The sequence below is a fragment of the Homo sapiens genome, chromosome 1 (genome assembly GCF_000001405.40).
Source record: "Homo sapiens chromosome 1, GRCh38.p14 Primary Assembly".
Classification (NCBI taxonomy): domain Eukaryota; kingdom Metazoa; phylum Chordata; class Mammalia; order Primates; family Hominidae; genus Homo; species Homo sapiens.
In genome coordinates, this window is record NC_000001.11 from 210,378,474 (window position 1) to 210,392,049 (window position 13,576).

At 40.5% G+C, this 13,576-nt stretch overlaps 1 protein-coding gene across 18 annotated transcripts in view; it reads left to right on the forward strand.

The window, feature by feature from the left end:
* The window catches only part of HHAT (hedgehog acyltransferase), a 348,963-nt gene that overhangs the window by 51,146 nt on the left and 284,241 nt on the right, over positions 1-13,576 (forward strand). For all 18 annotated transcript variants that reach the window (XM_047424804.1, NM_001122834.4, NM_001170564.3 and 15 more), the window contains one exon: positions 8,995-9,108. In XM_047424804.1, coding sequence (XP_047280760.1) covers positions 8,995-9,108 — 114 coding nt within the window. The remainder of the gene's footprint in view (positions 1-8,994; positions 9,109-13,576) is intronic.

The following is a 13,576-nucleotide window of genomic DNA, read 5'->3' on the forward strand; positions in this document are numbered from 1 at the left end:
AAGGAAAAAGAGGTATAATAATGAAAAATATAAACTGGTTGGTAAGGTAGGTCATTTCCTTGTTTTTCTTTAAAAATTGATATACAATAGTTGTATAAATTTTTGGAGTACATGTGATACTTTGATACCTCTATACAGTGTGTAATGATTAAATAAAAGTAATTGGGATATCCATCACCTGAAACATTTATCTTTTTTTTTTGTATAGAGAACATTACATATCTTTTGGTTTTGAAATACATAAATGCATTTGTGACTGTATTCTAACAAACAGTCACTGCCATCATTACCTAGTTCTTGAGCATTCATTGGGTTGACCTAGCTGGTGTTTTCTTCCATTTCATTTTCCTCCATTGAATAGACTTATTTCAGACTAGTGTTCTTCAAAGTGAACTGTTTTCATAATGCTTTTGTTATAAAGCTGGAGCTGGATTCCAATCAGAGGAGACATTTCTTCCGTAGTATGTTAGTCATGGTTCCATTGCAGACAGCAGAATCTATTGCAGTTATTTTAAAAAGAGAATTATTGCAGGGATTTAAAGACATTTGAGAATAATAGAAAAACCTGTAGGAGCAGGCACTAAGTGAGCTACCAGAAACAGTTCCAAGAGCCACTGTACACAACATCTGCTGCCACATAGCTCCTTGCTTGAGAACCTAGGGCTCTGGTGCCACATCTGACAGCTTCAGCATCTCTGAACTGACTGGACCCCAGAATCTCCAGCATGGCTGCTGCAGAACAGCCAAAGGGTCTCTGCCACCATTTTCTTCAGAAGTCTCACAGACCATACATTGTTTCTTTACTCTGAGAGTCATAGTGTTTGTATTTGTTCATGAGAAGCTCAGCCATTTTTAGACCTGCCAGCTACAGGGAATTCTGGGATATTTAGTTTTCAACCTTCTAACCTGTAATGTGTAGGAAGTCATGCTAGAGAGGAGTAAATAGTCATGGTTGAGTTAATCGGCAGTACCTGCTGTACAAGCAGATATTTTCTTCTTAGGAAAAGGTTAAGATGGTTGCTTTCCTGAATGCTGAAGTTCCTTTTTGTTAACCGTGGGCTCACTTCTTTTCAGTCCACAGTCTCTAGAACTTTCTTCTTTCCTTCTTTTGGACTGGGTTTGGGATCTTGAACAGCTGAATTCTTATATTTTAACTATGAGTGCTTCTAACTGTTTCAGGATATGCAGCTTGAAAACTCCTGGAGTTGTGTTTCTGGGCCTATCAAAGTAAAATCGAGTTTGTTGTTTGTTCGTTTATTTACATATTTACTGAACAAACAAGGACATAATACTTCATACATTCCTGGCTGTATTCCAAGTGTTCTCCATACTTTAGTTTATGTGTTTCTTATAAATATGAAATGGGTCCTCTATTGTAATACTACTGTACTTTGGCCATGGCTTGAGAGTCAGTAATTGATTTTTCGGAGAGTGGGCCTTGAGTTGGTCAGGATAATTTGCAGAGAAGATCATCCACTGGAACTATTCTGTGAGCTTATATTTTCTCCCTACCTGGGGTTATAAAGGCATTCTAGGGCAGATACCGGATGCTCCACTTTTGGTATCTCTTCTCCCTCTTTCCCAGTAGACTGTGCTGATACCAGGTTCCTAAAAATAGTTTGACTCATTGTATAATCATTCAAATTTTTCAAATTTTTATTGAGTATCTAATATATTCTGTTTATTGAAGAATACAATGCTTAATCTATATGTAGACCCTGTCGGAAAGGAGCTCACAGTCTAGTGGAGAGACAGCTCAGTAACCTGTAATTAAAGCACAGTGGGGACTGGGTCTGGTGGCTCACGCCTATAATCCCAGCACTTTGGGAGGCTGAGGAGGGTGGATCACTTGCAGTCAGGAGTTCAAGATTAGCCTGGCCAACGTGGTGAAACCCTGTCTCTACTAAAAATACAAAAATTAGTTGGGCATGGCAGTGTGCACCTGTAATTCCAACTTCTTGGGAGCTGAAGCAGGAGAATCACTTGAACTCAGGAGGCGGAGGTTGCAGTGAGCCGAGATCATGCCACTGCACTCCAGCCTGGGCGACAGAGCAAGACTCTGTCGCAAAAAATAAATAAAATAAAATAAAATTTTAAAAAGCACAATGGGATAAGTTGCTTTGTTACAGGTAACCGTAGTGGCATATTGTGGGAGCATAGGCAAGGGACACCGAGTCCAGGCTGAATGGATGGACTACTAAAGGCTTCCTGGGAGAAGGCTTGCCTGAGCTGAGACCTGAAAGATATGTCCTCATTCACATGATGCTTCAGTGATGGTTTTTCCAAATAGAGGGAGCAAAGTGTGGGAGGCCCAGCTGCATGAATGTGGTGCTGTGGGGTCAGAGGGGTCAATGCAGTTGTAATGTGGGATGGTGGGGGCAGTGAAGGTTAGGTACGACGATGGAAGGGTGGACAGGGGGACAGGGCCATTTTATGAAGAACTGCATGAGTCTCACTGAGAAGTTTCTCTGGAATGCTAAGGGGAGCACATGAAGAATATTAAGTGGGGGAAATAACATGATCAAATATGCTCTTAAAAATATTACTTTGGTGCTGTGTAGGGAGCATGGAATGGAAGGAATAAGGCTAAATGGGTAGAAGTGAGTAGAGCACAGTCTGCGGAATTGAAGTAGGTCTAGCATATAGTACGGGGAGGAAAACGATTTTGCAGTAACTCCAAGACTTTCCTGGATAACAAAGCCTAATTGATATGCTGTGATTGACTATATGAAGCAGCATATACTAGATGCTTAATAAAATTTATTGAAAGATTTGAATGATTATGCAGTGGGTCATTTAAAAAAATTTTTTACTTTTATTTTTCTGAGACAGAGTCTTGCTCTGTTACCTAGGTTGGAGTGCAGTGACATGATCTCAGTTCACTGCAACCTCCACCTCCCAGGTTCAAGTGATTTTCATGTCTCAGCCTCCCGAGTAGCTGAGATTGTAAGTATGCGCCAGCACTCCCAGCTAATATTTGTATTTTTAGTAGAGATGGGGTTTCACCATGTTGGCCAGGCTGGTCTCGAGCTCCTGGCCTCAAGCTATCCACCCACCTTAGCTTTCCAAAGTGCTGGGATTACAGGCATGAGCTACTGCACCCGGCCTCAAATCATTTTTAAGGCTTACCCATGGCCTTTCTTAGACTCTGCTTCATTTGTAGATGTAAACTTCTGAGCTGATAGCAAACTATCTGCAAATACCATCCATAGACATAATAAAACAGTGCTCCTGACCCATCTCACTAGGAGATAAACAGTGGAACTATTCAGCAGGTCATGGACTGATTACAAAAAAAATCCAAAAAGACTCCAAAAACAGTGGGACCAGGGATCTGGGTTGAAGAACTGGTGGACTGAGCTAACTGATGTGGCTACAGGGTGAATTTCTCTCATTCACTTAGGGCGTCTCGGTGAGTGCCTTGGCACTTGGCTTGGTACTTTACATTTTAGTCTATTGACCAGGCCTTATTAGCTATGCGTTTGTGTTGTTTTCAGCTGGAGAATAGTCCTCAGTTTTCTGGGGAATGCAAGAGAAAGCACAGAACCAGAATTTTAGCCATCTCTTGTGATAACAACACAGTACTCCAGCTAAGAGGCTGAGAGTGAGTTGTGATCTGGCAAGGTTTAAGGGCGATGAGAATTCAAGGCTAGAAGGAGGAAAGATTTACTCAGTGGTGAGTTGCTAGGGCAAGTCCTCATTTGCCAGGAATTTTTTCTTGTAACTTTCTTCCCTAGTGACATAGGGGTGTGAGAAGAGGGGACGACCCCTTCTCCACGGGTGGGTGACAAGCACTTTCTTAGTATTTCTTTCCTTTAGCCTAGAAAATAATTGTCTTTCCCATTTTCTGAAAGGAATCTTAGACATTGTGCTAGTGGAGCCCTTCATTTTACACACAAGGAAATTCAATCCCAGATAGTTAAGTGACTTTTCCAAGTTTAAACAGAGGGAGAAATGTGACAAGTACTAGATAGGCTGATTTTTTGGCTCCGTTCCTGCTCCTCGCCATTTTAAAGGCTTGCTGAATGTTGGGCATCTAGGAGACAGATTTAAGTCAAGGTTCTTGCTCTCAGAGAGATCCATTTTTCCCTCCAGAGAGAAAATACAGGAATAAAAGTGATATAATAAATATGCCATAATAAAAGTTCTAGAATTGAGATGTGGATGACGGAGAAGGGAGTGCAATGAGGTCCACCTGGGGAGGTAGGTATGGGAAAGCTTCACTCTGGAGCTGACATTTGAATTGTACCATTTAGTGAGTATTTTGTGCATGTCACTGGGCTGGCTTTGTGGTTACGGGGCATAAATGAGGTGCACTCTAGGTTGGAGATTGCCTAGTCAAATAGTGTTGTGGGGCAAAGGGGTGGGAAGGGCAGAAAGTCCAGGTACAGGGACAAGCATGAGTAGAAACATCTCAGAAAAGGGTTTCCTCCTTGGCTTCAGACAGGCCTAGGTTTGAAACCCGGCTCTGCCCCTTACTAGGTTTGGATAAATAATCTGCTTTCTCTGACCTCCAGTTAACTCATTTGTAACACGGAGTTAGACAGAACTACTCAAAAAAGAAAAAAGAAAAAGTGAGCTTCAGGCCGGGCACGGTGGCTTATGCCTGTAATCCCAGCACTTTGGGAGGCTGAGGCTGGTGGATCTCTTGAGGTCAGGAGTTCGAGACCAGCCTGGACAATGTGGTGAAACCCCGTATCTACTAAAACTACAAAAATTAGCCAGGTGTGGTGGTATGCACCTGTAGTCCCAGCTACTTGGGAGGCTGAGGCACGAGAATCACTTGAGCCTGGGAGGCAGAGATTGCAGTGAGCCGAGGTTGTGCTATTGCACTCCGGCCTGGGCAGCAGAGCGAGACTGTCTCAAAAAAGAGCTTCAAATCACTGACGAAATAAAAAGAAAAAAACCCAAAACTTATTTATTTCAGCTACATGACATCCTGGAAAAAGTAAAATATGGAGACAGTAAAAAGATCATTGTTTGCCAGGGATTGAGGGGAGCAGGGCCAGGGTGGGAGGGATGAAGAGGTAGAGTACAGAGGATTTTTAGGGCAGTGAAACTATTTCATATGATATGATAATGGTGGATATGTGTTTTTATACATCTGTCCAAACCCATAGAATATGCAACATCAAGAGTGAACCCGAATATAAACCATGGACTTTGGGGTATCAATGTAGGTTCACCAGTTGGAACAAATATATTACTGTGGTGGGAGATGCTGATGGAGAGGGGTTAAGGGGTCTATGGGAATTCTCTGTACATTGTGCTTAATTCTTCTGTGAACTGAAAACTCTCTAAAAGATAAGGTCTGTTAAACAAATTGAGCTACTTTAAAGATTGTTATGAGGCTGTAATTAGAAAACACATACTCGAGTGTTCATCAGTGACTGGGAAGAAAGGACAGGTCTGTCAGTTTCACTGACATATGAAGTTGAGTTGCAGCACTGTTACCCCTCTCATTCTGCAGTGGGTTTTTGGTGTGTCTTCATTGTGGGGTGTGGTGGTCTTGGTGCTGGGGGTCTTCCTATTTAGACTTTGAGCTCCTCATGGTGCCTAGAGCAGAACTCTGCTGTGGGTAGGAAAAGAGGCAGTTACAAACACTAGGCCCAGACCCTTTCCTTTGTTAAGAAAGGAAAAAGTGTTTTGCTAGGACGTTAGAGTTACTATTTAAGAAACCCAGAACAATCATGTCTCTCAGAGTCCTTAGTATTACCTGGTAGCAGAATGTAAGCCTCAGAATAAACAACCACATTTGTTAACTTGTTCAGTGAATTCCGAAGTCTGGGTGCCCAGAGCTTTGAACGGTGAACGGGAGGATGACTGCTCTGTTGGTGAGTGTTAGGTAGCAGCTTCGGAGTATGTGCCCTCCCTGCCTGGGAATGGTACGGGGCGGGCTGAGCTGTTAAGGATTCTGTGAGTTTATGAACATTCAGCTGTAGGAAGGCATAATCAGTCATGTAGATTGGTCCCCAGGCTGGTAGTATCACATCACCTGGAAGCTTGTTAGAAATATAGAATCCCAGGCCCCACCCTTGATTGACTGCATCAGAATCTGCATTTTAGCAAGATGCATAGGTGGCTTGTGTCCACTTTGAGGTTGGATGTGGGTGACTTCTCCTTGGAGTACAGCCTCCCTGCTTCCATGGAGAAGCCTGCCTAGTTCTGCCTGGCTGAGATTTAGCTCCAGTTTATATCTGACCCCCTTAGAGTGCCAAAGAAGAGGTTCCTAATTGACTAATAACCATGGAGGCAAGAAAGAAAATGGGGGAAGGGACAGATCATGATGTTGTTCCTGATTTCAGGCTTTCATGTTTGCCTTGAAATGTGTGACTGAGCTCAGAGTCTATAAAGCTTTTGCTTCAAGAAGCAGTGAGTCAATATTTTTCTTACCCAAATCATTAAACATCATCTTGACCTATTCATTGGCCCAGCTTTTCTGTTTGGTCATTTCCCTTAGGTAACTTTTTTAAATAGGGAAGAATAGACATGAGAGAGACATTTTTATTTCCTTTAAATGAATGTTTTCTGTGATAATTAGAGGTGAAAGGCCATGTGTAATTTTTGTTGATGGGATTTTACCAGCAGAGTTTTCAGGAGTCCTGGACTTTCTGGTGGAACAGAAAGTCTTATATGTTTTGTTGTATTATATCCTTTTTTCCACCCTAAAAAATTAAACTTGGAGAAGTTTCGAGGCATAGGTAAGCTTGGGGTCATGAATTCTAAATGTAATTCTAAGTGTTCAAAAATGTTGTATTTAAAAAGCTCATATGTTTTTCTTTTTTTTTTTTTTTCTTTTTGAGTTTGTATTAAAAAAGTGTCTTGGCTTTTGTGTCTTTTAGCTGTATCCCTGTTATAAAAGTGGTATTTTACTAGCATGGCCTCATCACATGACCTTTGAACTTATTTACATTTGTTTAGTTAATTGACTCTTGGCTAATTTGGAAATCTCTAGATGGGGAAATAAGCTGTGGATCAGGGATCAGGAGCCAGGTTAAAGCTTTGAGTTCTCTGCTGTGCTGCCTGGCTGTGTGTTTGTGGGCATGTCCCAGACTCTGGTGTAGTCATCTCTAAATGGAAGCAATTCAACTACATACATGATTTCCAGCAAGGGACAGGGGCTTTATGAGCAGGTCATGTATCAGGATCTGGGGTGTGGGGAGCATGTGTAATCTGAGAATGCGCAGTATTGTATTTCCTTATTTGAAGAAATGGGAAAACTTTTTTAAAATGAGTGGCACAAAGTAAAGCATGATACGGTCTTGGCTGGTGGTTTACAAGGGATGGGAAGCACATGGGTCTAGCAGTTAGTAGCGGGTACTGCTGTTTAATAGCACTGTGTGCTGCTACAAACTTTTAATGTACATATGCTCTTATTTAAGCCTCAAAAATCCCTGTAAGGTAAGTACTATTGTCATATGAAGAAACAGAACAGAAAGGTTAAGAATCATGTTCAAGGTCATCACAGCAAGTGTGTGAGTAGATCTGGGCTCTGGACCCAAAACAAGCCTCCAGTCTTAGCTACCTTGCACTCATAGTCTGTTATGAATCAAGATCAATTTTATATGTATCTTACCTTCTGCAAAAAAGAGTTTTATTTGTGTGCAACTGGTATGACATTACCCCACAATCTTAGGTACACCAAAAAAATCACACTTTTCTTCAAATCCAATTAAGAGAGGCTTCAAGTTCCACTTGCAGAGATTGGTGAGGAGTTCAATATCAGTGGTCATTGCAGGAGTCCTTTTCTTTTTTTCTTTTTTTTTTTTTTTTTTTTTTTTTTGAGACAGAGTCTCGCTCTGTCGCCCAGGCTGGAGTGCAGTGGCGGGATTTCGGCTCACTGCAAGCTCCGCCTCCCGGGTTCACGCCATTCTCCTGCCTCAGCCTCCCAAGTAGCTGGGACTACAGGCGCCCGCCACTACGCCCGGCTAATTTTTTGTATTTTTAGTAGAGACGGGGTTTCACCGTTTTAGCCGGGATGGTCTCGATCTCCTGACCTCGTGATCCGCCCGCCTCGGCCTCCCAAAGTGCTGGGATTACAGGCGTGAGCCACCGCGCCCGGCCTGCAGGAGTCCTTTTCCAGGCACACATTTTGCTTAGAAAATTCTGAGACCTCAAATCCCCCTCCATCCTGGTAGTGCTGAACTGTTCACTGGCCAAGCCTGCATTGCCTGTTTCAGGGTGACCGATGACAGTGTGCATCTCTCCACGCTCCTCTTGGCCTCCGTGGTCCTTTCTGGGGCTCCTGAGGCCATGACTTTGAGGTGCTGGTTCCTAAGCGTCCACATGTCCACTGTTGTCAGAGGTTTCTACCTTCTCCTCCTGGGGAGCTTCATAGATGTGGAACCTGGTACTGATGCAGACACAGAATGCCACATGGACACAGAGCTTCTTGGGGGGAAGGGAAGTGTACCTTTCATTCCTTCATTATAAATTTATATGAACTTAGTTAATTTCTCTGACAAATTATTCTGTCTGTAAATGGCAACAAGACTCAGAATAACTGACTTTAAGCCATTTTATTAGTGTCCAGTTTACATTTCTCAGTGAAAATATCTAGTTGTCTAAACTGGGATAGCCTCAATTCATTACTTGTACTATCCCTGTGAACTTGGGTAAATGAATTGAGTTCCTTACGTCTCTGTTTCATGTTTTGCAAAATGGAAATAATAATAGCATCTATACTACAGAGGGCCCTGGGAGATCAGCTGTAACAAAGACACTGAGTTGTAGAAAGTCCGAGGTGCATTTGGGGAATGGCAATGGCAATCATTCCGGTTAGGTTGGTGCAAAAGTAATTGCAGTTTTTGCCATTACTAATAGCAAGCTGGAGGGGAGTGTACAGGTGGGTGGGGAAAGGCTAGAAGTGTGTAAATCCTCTTTTACAGAGTTTGGACTCACACTGGCCTTCTTTCCAGTTTTATTAACTGGAGTTTGTGTTCTGACTCAGACGTGTACTGAAATCCCTCTGATAAACTATTTTGTCCTATTTAGGATGCGACCGACTTTGAGTGGAGCTTCTGGATGGAATGGGGGAAGCAGTGGCTGGTGTGGCTTCTCCTTGGCCACATGGTAGTGTCTCAAATGGCCACACTGCTGGCAAGAAAGGTATGATTATATGTGTTGTTACCTTTTAAGTGTGTTTTTCCTTTGCTTCTTGTGAAGAAAGAGTCCAAGCTAGGAATCGGAAGACTTGGATATTAGCACTGGGAGCCTGGAAAAAATGATAAAGTTGTTAACAATCAATATAACATTTAAGATAAAAGTTCATAGTTCATATCCTGCACTTGCTTTCTCCAACTTATTTTCAGGCATTGAATATAAAGGTTGTAGTGTAAAACTAACCATGGAGGGTGGTGGTGGTCTTTAAGATCACTTCTAATCAAATGATCAAAAAGTTGCCTGTGGTTGAGAATCTGGATGAGTTCACTTGCAAATTCAGAAGAAAGTTGATGATTTACTTAAGAAGTGGGAATAATTTTAAAGTCAAGTAGTTTATGCTGCTGTCACTGTTTTAGATGGGAAGTCCAGTAGCATTTTGCTCTTGCCTTGGGCTGGCTTAGAGGATGAGAGATTCTTCAAAGTGGTTATTTGAAAACTACTTTTATGTGAGGCAGGATTGAGACCCTCTTCACAGGTCTAGCTACCAAGGGACCTGATATACTGCCAGGAGGATCTTTCTGTCACCTGGGGGCCAGGGTATTGCCCAGAGGCCTCTGATAAATACTTCTTGCTTGCTATAGATTCCTGATGGAGGAAAAAGTCTGTGCTTGGAAATTTACCGAATAAAAGCAAGACACAACCAAAACCTGATTTGGAAGTCAACCTAGGAAAAATGTTTTGATTCTCAGAGGTTCCCGCAGGTGATAAAACTGAAGTAGAAGAGAAACAGAAACCTCTGGAGATTGAGACCAGAAAGTGAGATGCAGAAATAGGATGTCCTGTGGTTAGAGATGCGCACCTAACTTGGGCCAGTTTCTGACTCTTTCCTGAAAATTGGCGTTTCCTGGGCTTGCTCCTCACCCTGGAAGATAGGAAATCCCGACAGCATATTAACTTCTTCTTGAATATGATACTGATTTTTTTTTTGTACTCAAGTGGCTGCTGAACTGGCAAAATCCAAAATATTAGATGTTGTCAGATCTGAGTATATTTTAAAATTTCATTTAACTTTGTGAGCAGACCTAATAATAATTTTTTTTGTTCCTAAGCTAGTAATAAATATATCTACCTCAGCCCTCATTAATGGTTTTCTTTACTCCCACAAATTTCTGTTTAGTTTTTTTTTCCCCAAGAATTCAAAACTTCTGGAAATTTAACATTTTAATTCGTAACAAAGTTTTCCCATCCATGTGTAAATGACTTATTACCATAAGTCTCAGTTTTCCCGTATGTAAAATAAATAGCTTCATACCTGTTTTTCTTTACCTCTGTGAGGGGAAGATGATGTACTTTGAGGATTGTACTAAGTTAATTGCATAGTGGAAGAGTGCTAGACATTGTATTACTCATGTTTGGTCCTTGGTTCGATTAGCTTTCTAACCTGAGCAAAGGTTTTCACTGCATCTTCATTTATGGTCTTAGTGCATTTTTGTTGCTTATAAGAGAATACATAAAACTGAGTAATTTTATAAAGAAAATGAACTTATTTAGTAATTTATGAAGAAAAGGAATTTATACAGTTATGGAGGCTGGGAAGTCATAAAACTGAGTAATTTTATAAAGAAAATGAACTTATTTAGTAATTTATGAAGAAAAGGAATTTATACAGTTATGGAGGCTGGGAAGTCCAAGTCACCACATCTGGTGAGGGCCTTCTTGCTGACATCGCGGCAATCCTGAGGCAGTGCAGGAGATCACGTGGTGAGCATGATAGCTCAGGTCTCTTTTCCTCTTCTTATAAAGCCACCAGTCCCACTCCCGTGATAACTCATTAATTCATGACATGGTTTGGCTCTGTGTCCCTACCCAAATCTCATGTCAAATTGTAATCCCCACGTCTTGCAGGAGGAGCCTGGTGGGAGGTGACTGAATCATGGGGGCAGACTTCCCCCTTATTGTTCTCCTGATAGAGTTCTTATGAGATCTCGTTGTTTGAAAGTCTAGCACTCCCCACTTTGCTCATTCTCTCTTCTGCTCTGCCACGGTAAGATATGTTTGCTTCCCCTTTGCCTTCTGGCATGATTGTAAGTTTCCTGAGGCCTTCCAGTCATGCTTCCTGTTAAGTCTGTGGAAGTGTGAGTTAATTAAACCTCTTCTTCATAACTTACCTAGTCTCAGGTAGTTCTTTATAGCAGTGTGTAAACAGACTAATACAACTGATGAATGAATTAATCCATTAATGAGGGCAGAGCTCTCATGATCCAATTGCCTCTTAAAGGCTGTACCTCACAATATTGCCACATTGGGGATTAAATTTCAGCACCAGTTGTGGAGGGGACAAACATTCAAACCACAGCGGTTGTCCTCTGTAAAATAGGATCAATAAGATAGTATTAGTTTTTTTTCTCCCTTTAAAATATGATGAGCTTCATTGGTTAGACATTTCATCCTTAAAAGTAAAGATGAAACATGGAAAAGTGGGACAAAGAGAAAGCATAAAAGAAATGGTTGAAGTAAGTTTAAATATGTCAGTCATTGCAATCAACATAAGTGGATTCTCAAAAAAGATGAAGATTGTCAGACTAGATGAAAAAAAGAAAGAGAAATAGAGGAAAACAAAAACCAAAACAGAGCTCAGAGAGGCTCTTCTTAGCTAGATATCCTTAAAACAGAAGGACACATAATTTGAAAGTAAAAGGTATGAAAAGATATTCCAGGCAAATATTAAACCCCCTCTCCCTCTGACAAACTACTGGTGCAGTTTTATTAATAGCAAAGAGCATTACTAGTGACAAAGAGGGCTGCTGTTTAATAATAAAGAATTCGTTTCTTATTAGGAAGATATTAAAACTCTAAGTTTATTTGCTTCAAAATATATAAAGCAAAAAGTGATCATAAACATAAAGATAGGTCTATTATTGTAGGGAGAGATTTTTTTTCTTTCAGTAGTTTTCGGGGTACAGGTGGTTTTTGGTTACATGGATAAATTCTTCAGTGGTGATTTATGAAATTTTAGTGTACCTGTCACCCAAGCAATGTATACTGTAGCCAATATGTAGTCTTTTATTCCTCACCCCCACAACCTTTCCCTCCAAAGCCCCAAAGTCCATTATACATTCTTATGCCTTTGCGTCTTCATAGCTTACCTCCTACTCATAAGTGAGAACATAGGATATTTGGTTTTCCATTCCTGAGTTACTTCACTTAGAACAATGGCCTCCAGCTCCAACCAAGTTGCTGCAAAAGACATTATTTCATTCCTCTTTATGACTGAGTAGTATTCCATGGTGTATATATACCACATTATCTTTATCCACTCATTGGTTGATGGGCACTTAGATTGGTTTCATATCTTTGCAATTGCAAATTAGGCTGCTATAAACATGCAAGTGCATGTGCCTTTTTCATATAATGACTTCTTTTCCTTTGGGTAGATACCCAGTAGTGGGATTGCTGGATCAAATGGTAGTTTTACTTTTAGTTCCTTAAGGAATTCCTATACTGTTTTCTATAGTGGTTGTACTAATTTACACTTCTACCAGTAGTGTGAAAGTGTTCCCTTTTTACCACATTTACACCAATATCTATTGTTTTTTGACTTTTAATTATGGATTAATAATTATGGAAATTAAGTTGAAAAGCAATAAAAACAAGATCTACTTTTGTCAAACTAGAAAGTATACATATACTTATCTCACAGTAATTTTCAAGATGAATTAAGGAGTTAAAATGAAAATCAAAAGTATTAAACTTTTAGAAAATATGACATAGAATATTGATGTTGGCACAGACAGAGATTTTTTTATACAAGACACAAAAAGTGCAAATTATAGAGGAAAACACTGATAAATTTAACTACGCTAAAATTAAAAACTTTTTATCTAATGACACAATAGAAAAGTGGAAAGGCAAGTCACTAGTGGAGAAGTAATTTGCAAACTGACAAAGGATTGGCATATGGAATAAATTTCATAAAAAAGACAAAATCACTCAATAGAAAAATGGTACAAGATATGAAGAGGAATTTGTAGAAAAGGAAACATAAATGATGAATAAACATGAAAAAATGTTAAATTCATTAGTAATCAAACAAATGCATCTTAAAACTACAATAAGATAACATTCTATGCTTTCTAGTTTGGCAAAAACAAAACAAAAATCCCCTGATATCAGTGTTAGCTGCCTGAACTCATACAGAAAGGGTGTTGAATATGTATTTGTATAACTACTTAGTAACACATTATATAGTAAAGCCAAAGAGGGGCCTACCCTACAGCCACCAGTGCTATGTGATTTTTTTTTCCCCCCTTTACAGACAGGATCTCATTGTGTTGCCCAGGCTGGAGTGCAGTGGTGTAATCATGGCTCACTGTAACCTCCAACTCCTGGGTTCAAGCAATCCTCCTGCCTCAGCTCCCGAGTAGCTTGGACTACAGGCTGTGACACCACACCTGGCTAATTTTAAAAACTTTTT